We start from the raw sequence: 19371 nt of genomic DNA on the forward strand, positions 1-19371 counted from the left end.
ACAATCCCATTTTAATAAAAAATACAAAAATTAGCTGGGCGTGGTGGCGGGCGCATGTAATCCCAACTGCTTGGAAGCCTGAGGCAGGGAGAATTGCTTGAACCTGGGAGGCAGAGGTTACAGTAAGCCGAGATTGCACCACTGCACTCCAGTCTGGGTGAGACTCTGTCTCAGGAAAAACAAATAAATACAATAAAAATAAAAAAGACACCGAGTCTTGCTAAATTTTAAACTCTGACAGCAATTGAAGCCCCATCTAGAGATGTGGAAGAAAATGACAATAAAAATTAATCACACACTTAAGACACAAGGCCAGAAATTGAATCTACTCAACCACTCCAGGCCCAGGGACTGTTACAGAAGAAGTGGTTTGTAAGATTGTAAAAGCTAATTTTGAAAGATGAAATTACTTGAAAGTTTCTTTATACAGTAAACATTAATTGACAAGGGTTTCTTGAAGAATTAATCCACTTTTTAATTTGAAAAACTTATAAAAGTTTATAAGAGATCATTTGAAATTAAATTTTATGGTAAAAGTAATTATAATGTAATAGATTTATTTTTCGGAATTGAGAGACAGTTTTAACTTCTCTCATGCTGTTCTTATAAGGGGTTATTGTTTAGAAAATTAATTCTTCTCTTTGAAAAATAAAAGTTTTTGCTTTCTTTCAAAATCACTGAGTTCTCACTGGACTAAATAAATAACTTACATTACAACAATCTGTAATCCTATTTTGTAATATCAAACATTGTAAACTTTTGATATTTGACAAACTTCACAAAATAAAATTCTAAATGCAGTCATTTGACCTCATTATTCTTTTCTGATATTAGGTCCCCAAAGCCAAAATTAAACTTATTCAGCTTATTTGGTATAATTAAAATATGCAGGGAGCTACGTCAAATTTGCAAAAGTGTTTTAACTTTGGACTATATTTAAATAAATGTGGACTATATAATTGGACCATATTTATATAAATTAAAGAGCATATTTTCCAAAATTGTATGAGATCCAAGTGATTTGATATGTCTTAGTATATTTTATCGGTAGTGTTTATGATTATTATGTAAAATTTCTGTTTATTGCAGAAGTAACCAAATTTTCCCCTCAATTCTGCCTTTAACCATGGCTATTCTAAAACTTCAGTCATCCACAGTTGGTGTTTTACTTTGATTCTTTATCAAGTGGCTTATAATAATCTATAGAATTTTGAGGAGTACTCTTAAATATACGATTGTGACAATTTTATAAATTGTGCCATTGGTATAGAGATTAAAACTTCCAAGACTCTCATTGATACCTGATTGATTTCTGATGATTGTTAATCTAATATTAAGCAGGACAGGACTTAATTGAATGAACTGAATTGACAGAAGACTGAAATTATTTTTATGGCTTATTCTTTAAAGCATTTGCTAATTACTTATGTTCTGTTTTTTCAGAATCAGGAAAAGTTTGTCTTTTAAGCTATTCACAGTTGTTAACAATTGAGTATGGTATACTTTATTAAGAAAAAAATAAAAACATAATATCTTCTTATATACATAATTTCTCCAAAATTTGGAAACTGTGAGTATTCTTATATCAAAATAGTTATTTGCATAGGTTCAATAAAAATCTGCTTTCTTCCATAACAGGGCACAATTGGAGACAATGGTCATTTTACTAAGTCTTTAACTTGAATTATATATTTTCATATTTACTTTATAAAATGAATCTAACCTGGAGAGCTGATAAAGCCCTTTGGGAAAACTGGCATGTACCTTTTTTTTTTTTTTTACAGGGCCCTGAAGTGTAGTAAGTAAACAATTTAATTTCTGACAGACCCAGGACTCCCAAGTTTTCTTGGAAACTTGAAAAAAGAGAAAGTAACCCAATTCACATAGCTATCTGGTGGCACAGATAAAATATTGACTGGGCTTGAAGATTTTAAAGATTCTACCCTTTGACTCCTTACAAAAAATTTCTAGCAAAGTCCATTTATGAATAAAATTGCCTATGTACAAACAAAAAATAGAAAACAAAAAAAGAGAGCTAATATGTTAAATGATTATTTTGCTGCCTCTTATACAAAAAAACCAGGCCAAGTCTCATAAGCCTAAAACTGATTTTACAAATAAATTGGTCCTACTATGATTTTGTCTCGAATAAAATTGGGGAATTATAGAGAGAAATATTATTTCAAAATAAACTATAGTGCATCAGTTAATAGATTTTAACCTTGTCCACTCGCTTTTCAATTTATATTATCTTCTACAATTTGGACTGAATTTTAAAGCGTATCTTTGCACAAGTCTCCAAAATAACGTTTTCAATTATTTCCCTTTTTAAATATTTTTCCTAACTTGAAACCAGCAGAAGTTAAGCTGTGCTTTCTTACAGCTAGACAATGTAAATTCTAAAGAAAATAAAATCAATGATATGGTTTGGCTCTGTGTCCCTACCCAAATCTCACCTTTTATTGTAATAATTCACACATTGCAAGGGTGGAATGAGGTGGAAATAATTGAATCATACGGGCTGTTTTCTTCCTGCTTTTCTCCTGTTAGTGAGTGAGTTATCACAAGATTTGATAATTTTATGAGGGGCTTCCCTCTTCACTTAACACTTCTCTCTCCTGCAGTCATGTGAAATAGCATGTGTTTGCTACCCTTTGCATCATGATTGTAAGTTTTTTGTGGCCTCCCCAACCATGAAGAACTGTGAGTTAATTAAACCTATTTTTCTTTATAAATTACCCAGCCTCATGTATGTCCTTATAGCAACCTGAACATGGACTAATACAAGCAACTTAATTACATATGAAGTCTCCTTTTGTACCTGCCTATTGTGAAGAGAAAATAAATCTTGAGACCCCAAAATCACTAAGCTAAAGAGAAGAGTCCAGCTGGTGTAATAGGAGATAGAAAGAAATTATTTAGGTAGATAGTTAGGATGAAAGAGTCTCTGGCAAAAACTTTTCTTCTAACAAGAATCAGCTCAAAAATAACTTCTTTTCTAATCAGACACAGTTCAAAGAGATCACTTCTAACAAAGAGCAGCCTGAAAGATCGGGCTGTAAAATATAGATAAACAACTCTGGCAGAGAGGGTATTTCTGTTTGTAATCACCAAAGTTCACATACATAGGATGGGTCCCAATAAAAACACTGGGCCTTAATGAGCACATTCCTTTCCTTTTCTGGGGTCACACTGAGCTAGGAAAGCTGTTAGCTTGTACGGGGTTTGGGATGCCCCCAGCTGCAAGGAGGTACCTGGGACCTGGCATGGAAACTCCTCCCTCCTTTTTCAGCACACGCATGGTGGAAGGAGATAAGGAACGTGGAGCAGACCAAGCTAAGTCCCCACCTGCATAATAAAAGCATGAGATGGGGCTGCCAGAGACTTCGCTCTATGCAGATGGCACACCTGGTCCTGTTTTTGCATCCTATGTTGATAAGATACCCTCTCCCCAGTAGCACATTTATAAAAATCCTTACATTTTACTGCAGCACAGCAACCCATTTGGGACCCCTTTCTGTGACAGAGAGCTTTTTTTTTTTCCTTTTACATATGAAATTTCTGCTCCAACCTCACCTTTTGTGTGTCTGTGTCCTTGATTTTCATAGCCACGACACAAAGAACCTTCGGTGATATTCCAGAAAACAAGGGTGTTTTACTGGAAAGGGCTTTGGGCAAACCTGCCTCCCTTTCTATTCAAAGTCATTCCTCTGAGGCCCACATGAGACAGATACATATCTGATTGCTTCCTCTTCAGTATCACTTATGAAAAAATGAAGATTCACTAAGTCTGACTAAATTGTGGATTCAGTGGTAGGCTGATAAAGGACTTAAAACAATGCAATCTACTGTGTCTTATCTACTTCTAAACTGCAAAACCCCCTCTCAATTTGTCCTGTCTTGAAGGAAAAAAAAAATGTACATTTTACATATATTGATTGATGTCTCATGTCTCTCTAAAATGTATAAAAGCAAGCTGTACTTCTATCACCTTGGGCACATGTCTCAGGACTTCCTGAGGCTTGCCATGGGTGGGTTCTTAACTTTGGCAAAATAAATGTATTAGTCTGTTCTCCTGCTACTAATAAAAACATAACCAAGCCTGGGTAATTTGTAAAGGAATGAGGTTTAATGGACTTATGGTTCCACATGGCTGGGGATGCTTCACAATCATGTCAGGAAAGCAAGGGACATCTTACATGGTGGCAGACAAGAGAGAGTTTGTGCAGGGGAACTCCCCTTGATAAAACTATCAGATCTAATGGGACTTATTCACTATCATGAGAACAGCATGGGAAAGTGCTGACTTACTGCAGGAGAACTACGTAATTTTATATTTCCCTATGTGCTTCTTTTTCATTACACATGTAAATTTTCTTACCATCCAAACTTCCCCTCTACCCAGCTTTTCCTCTGTGTATATTGAAAGCCCTAAAAATCGTCTTTAAGGAATGGCACTAACCACACACAGTTTCTGTGGTTACTTTTATTTTTCTTCCAGGCTGTCCTAACTTTGAGAAAATTAATTTTAATTTGATTGAGATCTGTCTCAGAAACCTTTGGTTTACACTAGGAAAGATCCCAAATTAGGAGCCAATTACTGTAAAAATCAGCCATACCACTCTGCGTGTGTGTGTGTGGGGGGGGTGGTTGGTGTATATGTGTGTGTACATGCATGTTTTCATTTCTGTGGGCTTTAAGCCATGTAGTTCTCTCTGTGAAGATACTTTTTGGCATGAACTTTGAATAGAGAATTGTAAGAGAAATAAGAGGCTCCTATGAATTATCTGAAAGTTTCTGGACTCACCATGGATCTTGACTGTGTCATTGCATCTGACAGTCCCAGGGAAGTGACTCTCTGGTGGTTTCATGAATCTGTGCTTGGGCTCTCCCTGCAGTTTACTGGGTATAGTAATGACAAATCACTGTTTCAAGAGACAATTTCAAAAGCATCAGATGCTGCTGAAAGAGGATTGTGAACCAGGGGACAGCCCTTTCATTCTGGGAGAGCAACATTGGGAGAATATGCTCTGTGAGCCCAAACAGCATCCTCCCCAGCAGGGTGAGGGCAGAGCTGCAGGGCAGGCCCAGAACCCACTCAACACAGACGTCAGCCCTGAGCTGGTGCAAAGGAGTCTGAGGAGAAAATTTTACCAGCATCTGAATTACACTTATTTCAAACAAAAATGCATGTCCTGTGAGTGTTTGTTTCACTATTAGAGGAGTTCTGTACTCATGAAGTTCTGGACATGCCAGCGGACAAATATCAGTAAACAAACATCAGAACTTGAACCTCAGCTTCCCACTGTTGCATTCTCCATGTGTCATCTCTATTATTTCTCATGCTAGATCAGGTATTTAGCTATGAAATATTCCAGTTAATTAACATGTAAGTAGCTTGAAGTCTACTGAGTTAAATACATATATTTTCTCCTGTTTTTCCCAGGTGTTCCCTCCCACACCTCCAATAGTCTCCACTATTATCATCGTCTTCTAGATCTTCTGCGATGCCCTGGAGATTAAGGATTTGATTCCATGACAGAGAGGAGGTACATTTCGATGGAACTTTGGTGAGAACCTTGGTTTTTATCCCATTTCCTCTGGGGCTCCACCAGTGCCTCTGGAATCATGGTTTCAGTGGCTTGCCCCTGTATGGTAGGTAATCCCTTTATTCTGTAGTGCTGATGAGGGAGGTGGGTCTGAACGCATTTCGGTAGTATGGGCTCTCCTTCTGTCTCAGACAGACACTTTGGGAAAGGAAGATTTTTCTGAGTGTCCTCATTCTAGAACAAAGGGATTCAATTGTATAGGAATGCGGATAATAGAAAACCTTCAGCCAAATTAAGGTTAATGAGATTAATTGAGCAATGGATGATTCATGAATTGGGCAGCCCCCAGAATCGCAGCAGATTCAAAGAGACTTCAGTGCAGTCACATGGTGGAAGAAGGTTTATAGATTAGAAAAATGATGTACAGAAATCAGAAGTGAGGTACAGAAACAGCTGGATTGGTTACAGGTTGTTTTTGTCTTATTTAAACAAAATGTGCACACTCAAGAGTGTATGAGTGGTTGAGGTATGGCTGCTGGAATTGGCCAAGACTCCGCTATTGTTACAGGCTCATGCTCTGAAGTTGGCTTTTCAATCTTGTCCACCTATTCAGGTAGGTTACAGTTTGTCCAGAAGGACTCAAACACAGAAGTACGGAGTCCTTCTCAGGCCATATTTAATTCACTTTATCAGTGCCCTTCAGTATGTGGTTCCTGAGAATTTTACACGACAACACGTTTACCTCACTGGAATTTAAGCAATCCAACACGTTTGTAGCTTTGTCTTGTTTTATTTATTTATTTTTTTATTTTTTGAGACGGAGTCTCGCTCTGTCGCCCAGGCCGGACTGCGGACTGCAGTGGCGCAATCTCGGCTCACTGCAAGCTCCGCTTCCCGGGTTCACGCCATTCTCCTGCCTCAGCCTCCCGAGTAGCTGGGACTACAGGCGCCCACCACCGCGCCCGGCTAATTTTTTGTATTTTTAGTAGAGACGGGGTTTCACCTTGTTAGCCAGGATGGTCTCGATCTCCTGACCTCATGATCCACCCGCCTCGGCCTCCCAAAGTGCTGGGATTACAGGCGTGAGCCACCGCGCCCGGCCTGTAGCTTTGTCTTGTAATAGGCTATATTTCATGTGGCAGCCTCGGCCTCAGTTTAGCTAACACTATGGCTTCATTTCTCTCTACAAGAACTCATTTCTTTCAAGATTTCCACGTTCCTGAAAGGAAAATAAACCTTTGGGACCACCAAATCACTAAGCCCAAGGGAAGTCAAGCTGAAAACTGTTTGGGGTAAATCCACCTCCATTATTTCACTAAAATGATAGCTACTACGGTTTTTAAAAGCTACAGACCTCCTTCAAAATTTGACCACAAGTAAAATCCTTGTGGGCCAAAGACAGACAGAGTCATTTCTCTGCTCATGTAAGTCAAATGCATATCTGATTGCTCCCTTTGCTCTATTATTTCACTAAGCCAGATTAAGGCCTACGTGACTATTCCTGTAAATTGTGCATTCAGTTAAAGGCTAATCAGAAACTCAAATAATGCAACCATTTCTCTCAAACCTACCTATGATCTAGAAGCCCTCTCCCCACTTCAAGTTGTCCTGCCTTTCTGAACTAAATCAATGTACATCTTATATACATATATTGATTAATGTCTCATGCCTCCCTAAATTGTATAAAACCAAGCTGTGCCCACAAGCTTGGGCACACATCATCAGGACTCCCTGAGGCGGTGTCACAGGCATGTCCTTAATCTTGGAAAATGAACTTCCTAAATCTATTGAGATTAGTCTCAGATACTCTTTGGTTTACAGGTTTGTTTTTTGTTTCATAACTTCAATTATTTGACATGCTAAAGAAAATTTGCCAAATAGCACATTCTCTTGTTTACGTGTTATTGTTGTTGCAAAAATAATATATTTTATATATAATTTATCATCTATGTACATTACCAAATTGAGTAGCAGATTTATTAGTAAGACCCAAAGTAATGAAAAGTTTGAATACCAATTAGCAACTTAGAAAAACAAATTATGCTACATTTGTTTGCTGAAATGCTACCTATTATTTATTAAAAAATAAACAATACAACATAAAAGGTTTAATTCTCGGTATTTCTACTGAGAAAAATAAGCCAAATAGATAAGAGTACATACTATATTGTTTCATTCTTATAAATTCTAGAGAATAAAAACTAGTCTAAAGAAATATGAAAACATCAGTACTTTTATAAAGAAATGGTAGAAGAAAAGAGGAGAAAAACAAAATTATGTCTGTAAAAGAGCAAGAGGAATTCTGAGGTGAGTTGACTTGTCACCTTCTTGAAAATAGAGATTTTCTTTATCAAAGTTTACTGTTATGCAGGTTAAATATGTGAATTTTATCATCTGTCAATTAAAACTCATAAAATGTATTACAAGTAAACAAGTGAAATTTTAGACAAAAAAGGGATGATAAGAAGGAACAAATGAATACATTAAATATCAGATACACCAAAAATTTATCTGCCTGATGCCTAGATGTTTCCGTATTTTTAGGTAAATGCAGCAAAATCACACAGGTTCTCGTGGCAGGAAGTGGATTCTGCAAACCACACTAGGCCCATTTAGCTCTGTCCAATAGTTGGTTAAGAGAGCAATTGAGGCCAGCTGTGAGGAGCATAGGCCCAGGTACTAGGACTCACTCATGCCAGATATAAGCCCTTAGACACATACATAGCCCCTCCATGTGTGGGTTCACTTTTACATCTGTAAACGAAGAAACCACTGAGTGCTAAATAACATCATTTATACACATAGGTAAAAATAATTAAAAATATGATAGTTGTTAAATGTTTATCGCACAACAATTTCACATTAAGACAGCATTTTCCCAAACACAATCATTGTCATCAAAATCCCCCAGGACGCTCTCATCTACTCTGGGCCCTGCCCTCTCCTCAGGAGTCCCACCCCATAGCTTGCTATATAGTAGGTGACATGCAAATAGAGCCCTCCCTCTCCTGATGAAAACCAGCCCAGCCCTGACCCTGCAGCTCTGGGAGTGGAGCCCCAGCCTTGGGATTCCCAGGTGTTTCCATTCAGTGATCAGGACTGAACACACAGGAATCACCATGGAGTTTGTGCTGAGCTGGGTTTTCCTTGTTGCTATATTAAAAGGTGATTCATGGAGAACTAGAGATATTGAGTGTGAATGGGCATGAATGAGAGAAACAGTGGGTATGTGATGTGTGGCAATTTCTGACCTTTGTGTCTCTCTGTTTGCAGGTGTCCAGTGTGAGGTTCAGCTGGTGCAGTCTGGGGGAGGCTTGGTACAGCCTGGGGGGTCCCTGAGACTCTCCTGTGCAGGCTCTGGATTCACCTTCAGTAGCTATGCTATGCACTGGGTTCGCCAGGCTCCAGGAAAAGGTCTGGAGTGGGTATCAGCTATTGGTACTGGTGGTGGCACATACTATGCAGACTCCGTGAAGGGCCGATTCACCATCTCCAGAGACAATGCCAAGAACTCCTTGTATCTTCAAATGAACAGCCTGAGAGCCGAGGACATGGCTGTGTATTACTGTGCAAGAGACACAGTGAGGGGAAGTCAGTGTGAGCCCAGACACAAACCTCTCTGCAGAATGCTTGGGGGAAATCAGCTGCGGGGGGCACACAGGACCCACTGATCAGAGTCATCCCCAGAGGCAAGTTGCAGATGGAGGCTGGTTTCCTGTCAGGATGTGGGACTTCATCTTTTTAGAGTTTCTCTAGGGAATCTCTCTAAGTTCAGAATTCTGTGCTTACCAATGTCATCTCTACATATTTTTAAAATGATTATTTTAATATGAAAACCTATTCTCCTATGCACAAAACACAGATTGATGCTTACAGAGATGAAAAGCCCTCAACCATTGTCACCAGGATCAGAGTATTGAGGAAACTCAGGGATACCTGGTGAGTCTTCTCCAGTCAGACTCAGGACAGAAACCTCAGTGAGATTCCCTGACTAGGACGGTCTTTAGGAATTGTGATCACAGCCAATAGAGTCTGGGCCAGGGTCAGTGTCGTGTAGAACCTCACAGTTTTCATTCCTGACCCTTCTCCTGACACTAAAGTATGCAACTTAGTATCAGCACTGATCTGGGGCCCCTTTTGCTCTTAGCCCACTCTATTTCTTTTTATTTGTTGTTGTTGTTCTTGCTCTTCCTTGTGCTGTTCGTGCTTCCTGTAAAGTGGGGATGTGGTTCTTGCTGCCAAAGCTCGAGGTCTCAAGCCCATTCCCTGCAGCTGAGGTGGGGCTCAGGCTGTGGCTCCTGCAGCCATGTGGGAGAGGCTGATAGGACTTTTCTCTCTCCCATTGCTCAGCACCCTCCAGTGTGTCATGTGGAGACTCACCTGGGAATGCAAGTGGCCAACAGTAGTGAAGAGGATGAGCTTGTGTGGTCAAAATGGGATGTGGATGTGAAATTTATCCTGTGCTGTGCAAAGTACCACAGAGTGAGTCACCTTCCTCACCAGTAGTGTTAGAAAGAGGGTGTGAAAGTTGTCAGAATCAAAATAGATCCACTTGTGTTAAAACCCTGACAAAAGGAACTAGGAATGACCATGAAGGAGGTTTCCCATGCACATACTCCTGATAACAAGAACGACCATGAATGGATTCTGCTTAACCACAACCTTTGATAGAAGCCACCATGACCTTATAAAAATCACATCTACAAGGACATCTTCCCAGCAAATCACTGTTTAACCCTATATTGATGCCAACCTTGGTATTGACTCTACAAGCAAGGAAAATACTCTCAAAACAATTTATGTAACCCACCTCATTTTCACTAATAAACCTATGGATTGACATCCTGGAGTCACTGCTGCATTTGTTGTTAATTGTAATTAGCCCCTTTTACAATGTTTGTGACTGTTTTTCTCCGATGTCTCTTGGAAAATAAATAATTTACAAGTTGATGGCAGTAAAGAAGCTATTTAGGACATTTTTAACATCCTGTTGAATATTTCTGCATAGCACATCGATCCCCTAAAATACTTCGCTGTATTGGCATGTGATAAATCAGAGTATAATGCTGAAGGTAAAATGGAAAATACATGGGCTTTTGATGAATCAAGTCATAGGGTGATATTGTCTTTGCCCTTGAGGAAGCAGACCATGGGCTGTTAAGTTCTAGTGGGAGTACCTTTGGCAAAAGGATTTCATGAGTTTCTGAATGTTATGCTACTTTCAATTTAAGAATGCAACTTGTCATTTATTTTTACTTAAATTTTTCCAGAAGATATTTGGCAGTAAGGACAGGGTAGCATTCGTGTGATACTGATGACTTAGAGAATTATTTTGTAATTTCTCCTGTAAGGTATGCACATTGCTCACTCGATACAGAAGGTCAAATGTCACAGGTGGGAAAATAGGAATAAAGCAAATTTTATTAAATGTCATGACTGTAGTTTTTGGCAAGGAAGTGCTTCATGTCAACCTGAAAACAGACAGACAACAATAAAACATATTCAAACCCACAGGGAGTCAGACCTATGTCCTTCTCTCGTATAAGTACAAGGCCTTGCCACATCCAAACTATCCTTTAAGCTCCAGGGTATAAAATGCTTTTGGACTGTGGAAGCTAACAGCTCTCCCCTCAGGCAGGGCTAAGGTATCTGGGGAATGCAGAGTTGTGTTCACGAAGAAGATGGCATTATGTCTGTCTTCTCCTGTGCCTGGTGACGGCTCCCCCAGGGTGAGTGTCTCAGATGTGGGTCTATGGGGTGAGTGTAGGTACATGTGACTGACAGGGACTGATTCCCCATGTACTCACATGCCCTGTCCCAGGAGCAGCTGCAGGAGTCAGCCCTGGACCTGAAGAGCCTGCACTGCCCCTCTGCATCACCTGCACTGTTTCTGGCCACTCCATCACAACCAGTCCTTACTACTGGGCCTGGATCTGCCGGCTCCCAGGGAGGGGCTGAAATGGGTAAAATGCATTGCTAGTGGTGGTGGGAATCCATTCATCTTGTGGAAAATGGCAGCATCTCTTTATTTTATAAGGCAGAATCATGTTATATTGTATACACATACCACATTGTCTTTATCCATTTGTCCATCGACAGACACTTAGTTTCCATATCTTGGCTGTTGTGAATAATGCTACAATAATCACAGGAGAGCAGGTATCTTCACAAGGTGGTAATTTCATCCCATTTGGGTATATTTCCATAAGCTGGATCGCTGGTCATATGGTATGTCTGTTTTAATTTATTTAGAAGCCACCACACTGTTTTGCATAATGGTAATGATGGGAATGTAGAATGTCATAGCCACTATGAAGAACAGTTTTAGATTTGAGGTATAATCCAAAAACACATAGTGTTTGATCATGGTTCTCATATGAGGCTCTAATAAACCTAGTGGAAGTCCAGAAAGTTTTCCCACCTTGGGCAAGGATGAGTTTGCCCCTAATTATCTTTAAGGCAGAATATTTGCAGAATGTGAGATGGAGTCTGTTGGCAGGATTCAGGATGATTCAGTAATAAATAGTAATGGCACAGAAAAATAGGGAGTTAGAGACATGCAGAGAAAGAAAGAGATAGAGAGAATATGAATCTTGTAAGAGGAAAATCTGCTGGATATCAGTGTTGGGTTTTCATTCACAGAGACATCAGTGTGAGTGAGAAACCATGAATTCAAGTGAGGAGTGGAGAACATGTTCAGTCTGAAAATCAGCATATTCTCAGAGGCACCCATTGCCCCATGACACAGGTGGAGAATTTTGGAAACCAGTGAAGTGTGAGTTCACAATAAGTGATGAAGTTATCATTTTTCCAAACTTTCATTAATATGCAAAGTATTTCTATAGATCACTCATGCATATACACACAAAATGTGTTTTTGCATTTATGGATGTCTAGAGAAAAATAAGTGAGAAAATTTTTCCAGGTTGCAGAGATCTGTTTAAGTTGCAGATTCCATAGGAATGGATACTGGTCTATTAATTAAATAGTTCAAAATTCTCTCTGTTGGAGCAGCCTTCCAATTATGTAGATTTCTTTATTGCTTCTTGAGTTGTGAAACATAAACCCAAGGATTGACTTACTGGAATTCGACTGGTGTGTTCATAAAATTTCTGATAAGTTTTCTCCCAATGATTTGAGAATAGCTTTCCTGTTTTTTTACTCAAGGAAATGAATTTTCACAAGGTTTCAGGACATCACATTTCAGGCGTTTTACTTAAAGAGACTCTGCCTGGGTGCAGTCAGCTTTCTTCTAACCATGAACTCACTTCTTCAGCAAACCATTCAGTTTGTGCCTCTATTAAGAATGATGAAGCTTTTAAACTTCAATGCACTGAAAATCATGCCCCTTGAATTAAATGTGGATTGGCACTGACATGAATTGGCCACTCTTGGATATGTATCCTATATTATGGGCTCAACTTATTAGCGGACTGAGAATCCTGCATTAGCTGCCTCTGACTGTGGCACTGACCAGATTGAGAATCCTCAGAGTCATCCATGGAAAAGAGAATCCTTAGGTTCATGGGGTTTTTGGAGACATTCAGGTGAGTGGAGGGGAGAAACAGGACTGGGGGTGGCCAGCCATTTCAACAATACTGGGAATGATTAGCATCTAAGTATAAAGGTCTGCATCACTCAAAACACCCTGCATGACAGGCTGACAGAAAGAAATCCAACCCCACAGTGGCTCCATAGCAACTCTTTAGTATACTTGGTAGTGAAGCTCTTTCAGGGAAGAAACGTCCACTCAAGGGACTCAGTGATGCTTCTCTGAGCTACAATAAACAGTGTATTGGACCCAGGTTTCTCTGAGTTCAATGTGATGATTACACTCAGCTGCTGCTCCAATGAGTTTAAATGAGCATGTGGCAATTTAGATGAGCCTGGCTGTGTGGTATGTTATATGTAAATCTGAACTATGTAAACATAAAGGGCATGTCTGAACTAGTGTGAGGGTGAGAGATCTTAGAGGCCCCACACCTCACACTCTTGTGCTTATTTGCTCCAGGAACCTCCAGGTTCTTCGAGTGAAAATCGACATAGATCCTTTCCTGGATAAATCATCCAAAGACCTAATCTCTGAGAAATACACACGTACATTTCTCCAGATAGACCATCCAGGGGAAAGACATATCTAGAACCTTATCTGTATTGGGTAAGGTAGTCCATCTCCATTACAGACCCTCCCAGCAGCCTTCCTTTATCATGAAAGTGGATAAAATTAGCCGATACTGAAATAATCCTATAATATTACAGCCAGAAAAGGGAAAGCATCAGTTTCATTTCTGGAGACTCTGCATATAGGTCACAGCCCAGAGAAAAAAAGGATGATTGAATTATTAAGAATCAATTGTAAGAACATATAATACTTCCAGGATGCACACTTTGTTTTCTCACCAGTATAATCTGGGTTAAAGATGAAAGTGTGGCAGTGCACAGACTCTATCTGAGGAGGAGAACATAGGGAAACTGAAAGACAATGGCAGAGAAAAAGACAAGGACAGTAGGAAAATCTGAAGCCTCTGACATAAATTTTTTGAAGAAAAGGTCTTGGCAAATCCATTGACCTCAGATTCTTTTATCATGGGGCATTTTCAGGGTTCCTAGCTGAGAAAAAATATTCATGCACTTCCCAAGTCTCCACTTGTATTCTGTTTGCCTTAGATCGCTAAGAGAAAAAAGCCATAAACCTAGGCCTAGTGTCTGTGTATGAGGCGCTTTTATAGGCTAGAAAATAGTAAGAAAGGAGAATATGTGTTATTGGAATAGCATATACAAAGGTGTCTTTATTCTGAATGTATCTGTACCTGCAGATATTCTCAGATGCAACATTCAACTGCAGGAGCCCAACGAAGAAACTAGGCATTCCCCAAATCCTACAAGTTTTTGTATTCATTATGTGTCCACTGATTCAGGAAATGTGAAGCTTCAGAAAAGGGACTCCCTTCTGAGTCATAGAATCTTTTCTGTGGGTATCCCTCAGTAGGTTTAGTGAGGCTAATCAATTGTTAAAAGACATGGTGTTGGCAGCATATGGTGTCACTGGCAGAGAATTCTAAACCAGGACACAGCCACTTCATGCTGGGCTAGAGACTCTGAAGGAAAATATCTGTGAGCTCCGACAGAAACCTCATTGCAAGGCAAGAGCCTGGGTGAAAGGGGGCACTTGGGAGCCACCAAGCACAGGTTCCAGCCCTGGAGCAGGTGCACAGCTGGGGAGGAAGTTTCCTCTCAGGGCCTGGGTTTTCCTTTGTCAGGAAAAAACAATCTAAAATAACTGTTCAAAAAGTCGCTGACGTGCTTTAGGTATTCTATCACATCAAAACCATTCATATAACTTAAGGCACTGAGAACTATTTTTTGAAGTGGGTTTCTAGAACTATAATATCTTAGTAGTGAGAATATGAAGGATGGGCATGTTTTTACTAATTCTATGGGTACAGATTAGTTGAAGAAACTTCATTCCTATGAATAAGAAATTCAGATTTCAGTGTTAAGTAATGTTGCTTACATTGTGTGAGTGACAGGGCAGTAGTGGATCTGAGAGTGTGGCAGGTGCACAGACCAAGTGAGTCAGAAATCAATATGGAAAGGTGAGGGTCTGTGGATATGAACTGAAAGTATGTAAATACTTGACAAAATACTAATAAATGGAGTTCAAAAATAACCCAAAATTGTTCTAAACACAAATTCCTTGACAATTACTTTGGGAGTAGAGAGTTCATAATGGACTCCAAACTCCTGCTTTATCTTCTTCTGATTCCCATTTCTGTGAGATGAGAAAATCAGCTCTAATTATGCATCACAGGGCAAATCTGTAAACCAACAGTGTTCAATAGAATTGAAGATCCTGGGGGATCAGGACATGAGTCAGGTGCTGGAGACAGTGTCTCAGGAGCACCCAGTAGATCTCAGAGGTCCCTCCTGGACACTCATGTGGGACATAAGCGTCACTTTCTCAGAGTCGCCAATGAGCTGTGCTGGTGCCTGATGAGTCCAGGAAAAGACCAAGGCACCTGCTCAGTGTGATGGAGAGTGATGGTTCCAAAAATGATCCAGGTGGTCTCTATGCTAATCAAATATAGGCTTACAGTGAGGAGCCTGTTCTATACGGGCTTATTCTTCAGTGAAAGGATGTCTGTCCACAAATGTTTGTAAATGGAGCAGGGCATGCATTTCCTCAAGCAGGATTAGGACTTCGACCATCTTCATCTCACTCTTGTAAGGCTGATGTGTCATTTATCTTCCCTTTCTTATCACGGATTGGGCTTTGAGTTAAGAAAGGCTTTGTCTTATGAATATGCAAATATACTGATATCCACTGAGGTAAATATGTTCTGTGCCCTGAGAGAATCCCCTGAGAGCACATCTCACCATGGGCTGGACCTGCAAGATCCTCTTCTTGGTGGCAGCAGCCACAGGTAAGGGGTTCCCAGGTCCCAGTAATGAGGAGGGGATTGAGTCCAGTCAAGGGGGCTTTCATCCATCCTGTGTCCTCCCCACAGGTGCCCACTTCCTGGTGCAGCTGGTGCAGTCTGGGGCTGAGGTGAAGAAGCCTGGGGCCTCAGTGAAGGTCTCCTGCAAGGCTTCTGGATACACCTTCACCTACTGCTACTTGCACTGGGTGCGATGGGTCCCTGGACAAGGGCTTGAGTGGACAGGATTTTAGTTATTTGAGATATTTTTCATACAACATTTATTCTGCAAGCAAATTTCAGGGATTGTAGAATGAATCACATTAACAAATCTGATACAGAACTTCCTCTGAATCAATCTTTGTAAACATCAATTTCTGAATCAACGTTGTAAATACTTCGGAACACAAGCACAAGTTCACATTTTAACTCTACTTTTATCTCTATTTAAAAAATGCCAAAAAATCTCATTTTGTGCATGTAACGTTTTGAATTCCCACCATCAATGCATGACATTTCTTGTTTTTCCACATTCATGTTACCATTTATCATCATGAGTATTGTGAGTTTTAGCCATGCTGATAGGTGAGTAATGGCATCTAATATTTATTTAAATGCACATGTCCCAAATAAAAAAATTTATATTAAACAATTTTTATATAATTTTTGCTGAGATGCCTTTCCTGATATTTGGTTCATTTTTATCTCCATTGTTTTCTTTTCATTAGTTGTAAGTTTACTTGCATATTGATTATAAAAGTCATTTAACAAATTGAAAGAATTGATTTAACAAATATATGACTTGGAAGTATTTTCTCCCAGTCTGTGGTTGCCTTTTTCTCTCTTATCAGTGGGTATTTCAAAAAATATGTGTGTGTGTGTGTGTGTGTGTGTGCACAAATTTAGACAAAAAACATAAAAAATTATTCATTCATAGATCATGTATTTGGCATTATATCTGAAGTCTCATTATAAAATACACTAATACTGATTATTTATTCCATGTCTCTAATCTCAGGACACAATCAACTCATGAGTGTTTAGCCTTCACCTATTGATTGGAGGAATATCTGCCTGAGATATTTGGAATACTTCTATAAGAAGACGTGTTCTTCTTCCCATCGTTTCTTTGTTTAATCATCTATTAAAATCCATATTGGTTTATGGATGTCTGTTTCATACTCTGAAGAAGATCCATGCTACATTATTCATTTTCTTGTTCAAATCTCCACAGCTTTATTAGGTGCTGGGAGCTCATTTAGTTTGGATCCTGCATCCTTACAGCAAAGCTGATCCTTTTGTTTTTGAACACTTCCCTGTTTCCTGATATTAAAATAGATTCTAAGCTTGTTTCTTTATCACCTTTTTCATACATAGAATTAGCCATTTATATAAAGATTGCTTGTTTCTGATTTTAAAGAATAGTGTTAAAATAAAATATTGTGATAATGGGTATGTGTGTTGTTAATGTGGTATAAGTACTTCTGGGACTTCTCAACCTTCTGTTCTAGTAAATGAGCATGTTTATATGAATCATGTTTATGGACCCATTGAAATTATGTATCTAATCTTCTGTAACTTGATTACATTAAAAATGAGCACACACTGGTCTCTCCACCCAACTATGCTGCCACATGGACCTTTCTAACCTTCCTTTCTTGACTGTCCATAACCATCCACTACAAAGTGAGGAATCCCATCCAACCATATGCCATTTGATTACTTAGTTGCACGATTTCAGGACACATGCATAGCGGTTTCAGAAATGTAATGCTGTACCCTTGTAGGAAACATGTTTATCTACTAGATAGAGTGCTTATGTGTGATTTCTTTACAATTTAAACTTAGAGAACCACCTCATTTTCAAAGTTGCTTACTTCAGGAACCTCATTTTCCACTTTCTTCAGTGAAGTCATTTCAATTGCAGTGTATAGTTTCATTTATTTGAAATTCTGTAAAAGTCAAAACTATACTCAGGTAAACAGAGAGGATATTCCAGGAATTTAGAGAGTGGGTGTGAAATAAGTAAAACAGGCCTTGTTTAAGAAGAGTTAAGACTAATTTAGTGATATGCAATGGTTGAGACAAGACACAATTAATTTGTCCCAGCTCATAATTTTGTGATGGACAATATAAACCTAAATATACACAATTAAAAATATATTTAGGAATTCATTAACCCCTGGATAAAATGCAGACTGTACAAAATTATCTAATAACATATTTGGGAGTGTGGGGATATTATGAGATGCATGCAACAAAGGAGGAAGTAATTTTCCTCATTTACATATAAGATGTTTCCATTTACTAAAGATATTTTTTTGAAAAAAATCAATTTTCTACTTGACCCAGGTTTTCTCTTCCTGATAAGCAAGTAACCCAGAGGATTCCTTTTCTTTCCTAGATTGAGAAAGATTTTTCCCAAACGTCAGCTGAGTTCAGGCATACCCTGTCCCTGAATGCTCATTTACCCTCAAATGGGTACACACACCTGTCAACATGTGGGCTCTTCTGTCAGACAAACACACCTTTACTCATGTGGATTCTTCCATCAGACAAACACACATGTCCCCACATGGACTCTTTCCTCAGACTACCACATATGTCCTTACATTTACTCTTTCCTCAGAAAACAGACATTTCCTCACATTTACTCTTGTCTCAGACAAGCAAACACGTCCCCATGTGAACTCTTCACTCAGATAAGTACACATATGTCCACATTGACTGTTTCCTGACACAAGTCCATGTATCTGATGTTGAAATATGTTGCGAAAAGTGATCTCAAGATAATGATAATTATAAACCCCCTCCCTAACAAGGTGTAGATCTGCATTATTTTCATTGTAACTCAACTTTGCCACATGGTCAGGAACAGTGGTTTCCAGCTCTAAGTGTACTGATTACGGAGAGATGTCTGTTTTCTCTGGAAATGTATTTTTATGTTCTTACTGGATGTATTTGATGATAATGTTTTCTACTATGAAGATACCTGAATAGTGTCCACACTGGAGAATAAGAAAGAGTAATTGGCAGATTAACCCTGTGTCTCCAGACCCGGGAATCCTTTGACCCTGCCCTCCCTGAAATGGAGACACAGAGGACAGATGAGCAATGCCGAGCGGCGCACCCATGACCACAAAAAGAAAGACATGGAAATATGTCCCCTCCCCTCCTCATGAAAGGCAGCTCATCCCCTGTTCCTTCAGGCCCTGGTGAGGAGCCATCCCATGTGTGTGCCCTTCCTCAGTGTCCACACTGTGGGATCTGCACTGATCTGGGCTTCCCTTCTCATCACCCTCAGTATTAGTGGCCCTTGTGAATCAGGTCCAGCTGGGGCTGCTCCACATGCGGCTGTTCTCAGTCCATTCTCTCTGTGTTTGCAGAAGTCCTATGTGAAGTTC

General features: G+C 39.4%; 1 long non-coding RNA gene and 1 gene segment (V, D, J or C); both read left to right on the forward strand.

The window, feature by feature from the left end:
* Positions 1-1536: 1536 nt before the first annotated feature.
* LOC105371174 (uncharacterized) lies at positions 1537-7777 on the forward strand. The gene is made up of 3 exons (XR_950994.1): positions 1537-1570; positions 5447-5570; positions 7741-7777. It is a non-coding gene; the product is annotated as an uncharacterized LOC105371174 (long non-coding RNA).
* An 856-nt stretch (positions 7778-8633) lies between these two features.
* LOC102725101 (immunoglobulin heavy variable 3-23-like) lies at positions 8634-10241 on the forward strand. The segment is given in 2 exon segments: positions 8634-8714; positions 8823-10241. Coding segments are annotated over 2 exon segments (444 nt in total).
* The last annotated feature ends 9130 nt before the right edge of the window (positions 10242-19371 follow it).

This window comes from Homo sapiens, chromosome 16 (genome assembly GCF_000001405.40).
Source record: "Homo sapiens chromosome 16, GRCh38.p14 Primary Assembly".
Lineage (NCBI taxonomy): Eukaryota > Metazoa > Chordata > Mammalia > Primates > Hominidae > Homo > Homo sapiens.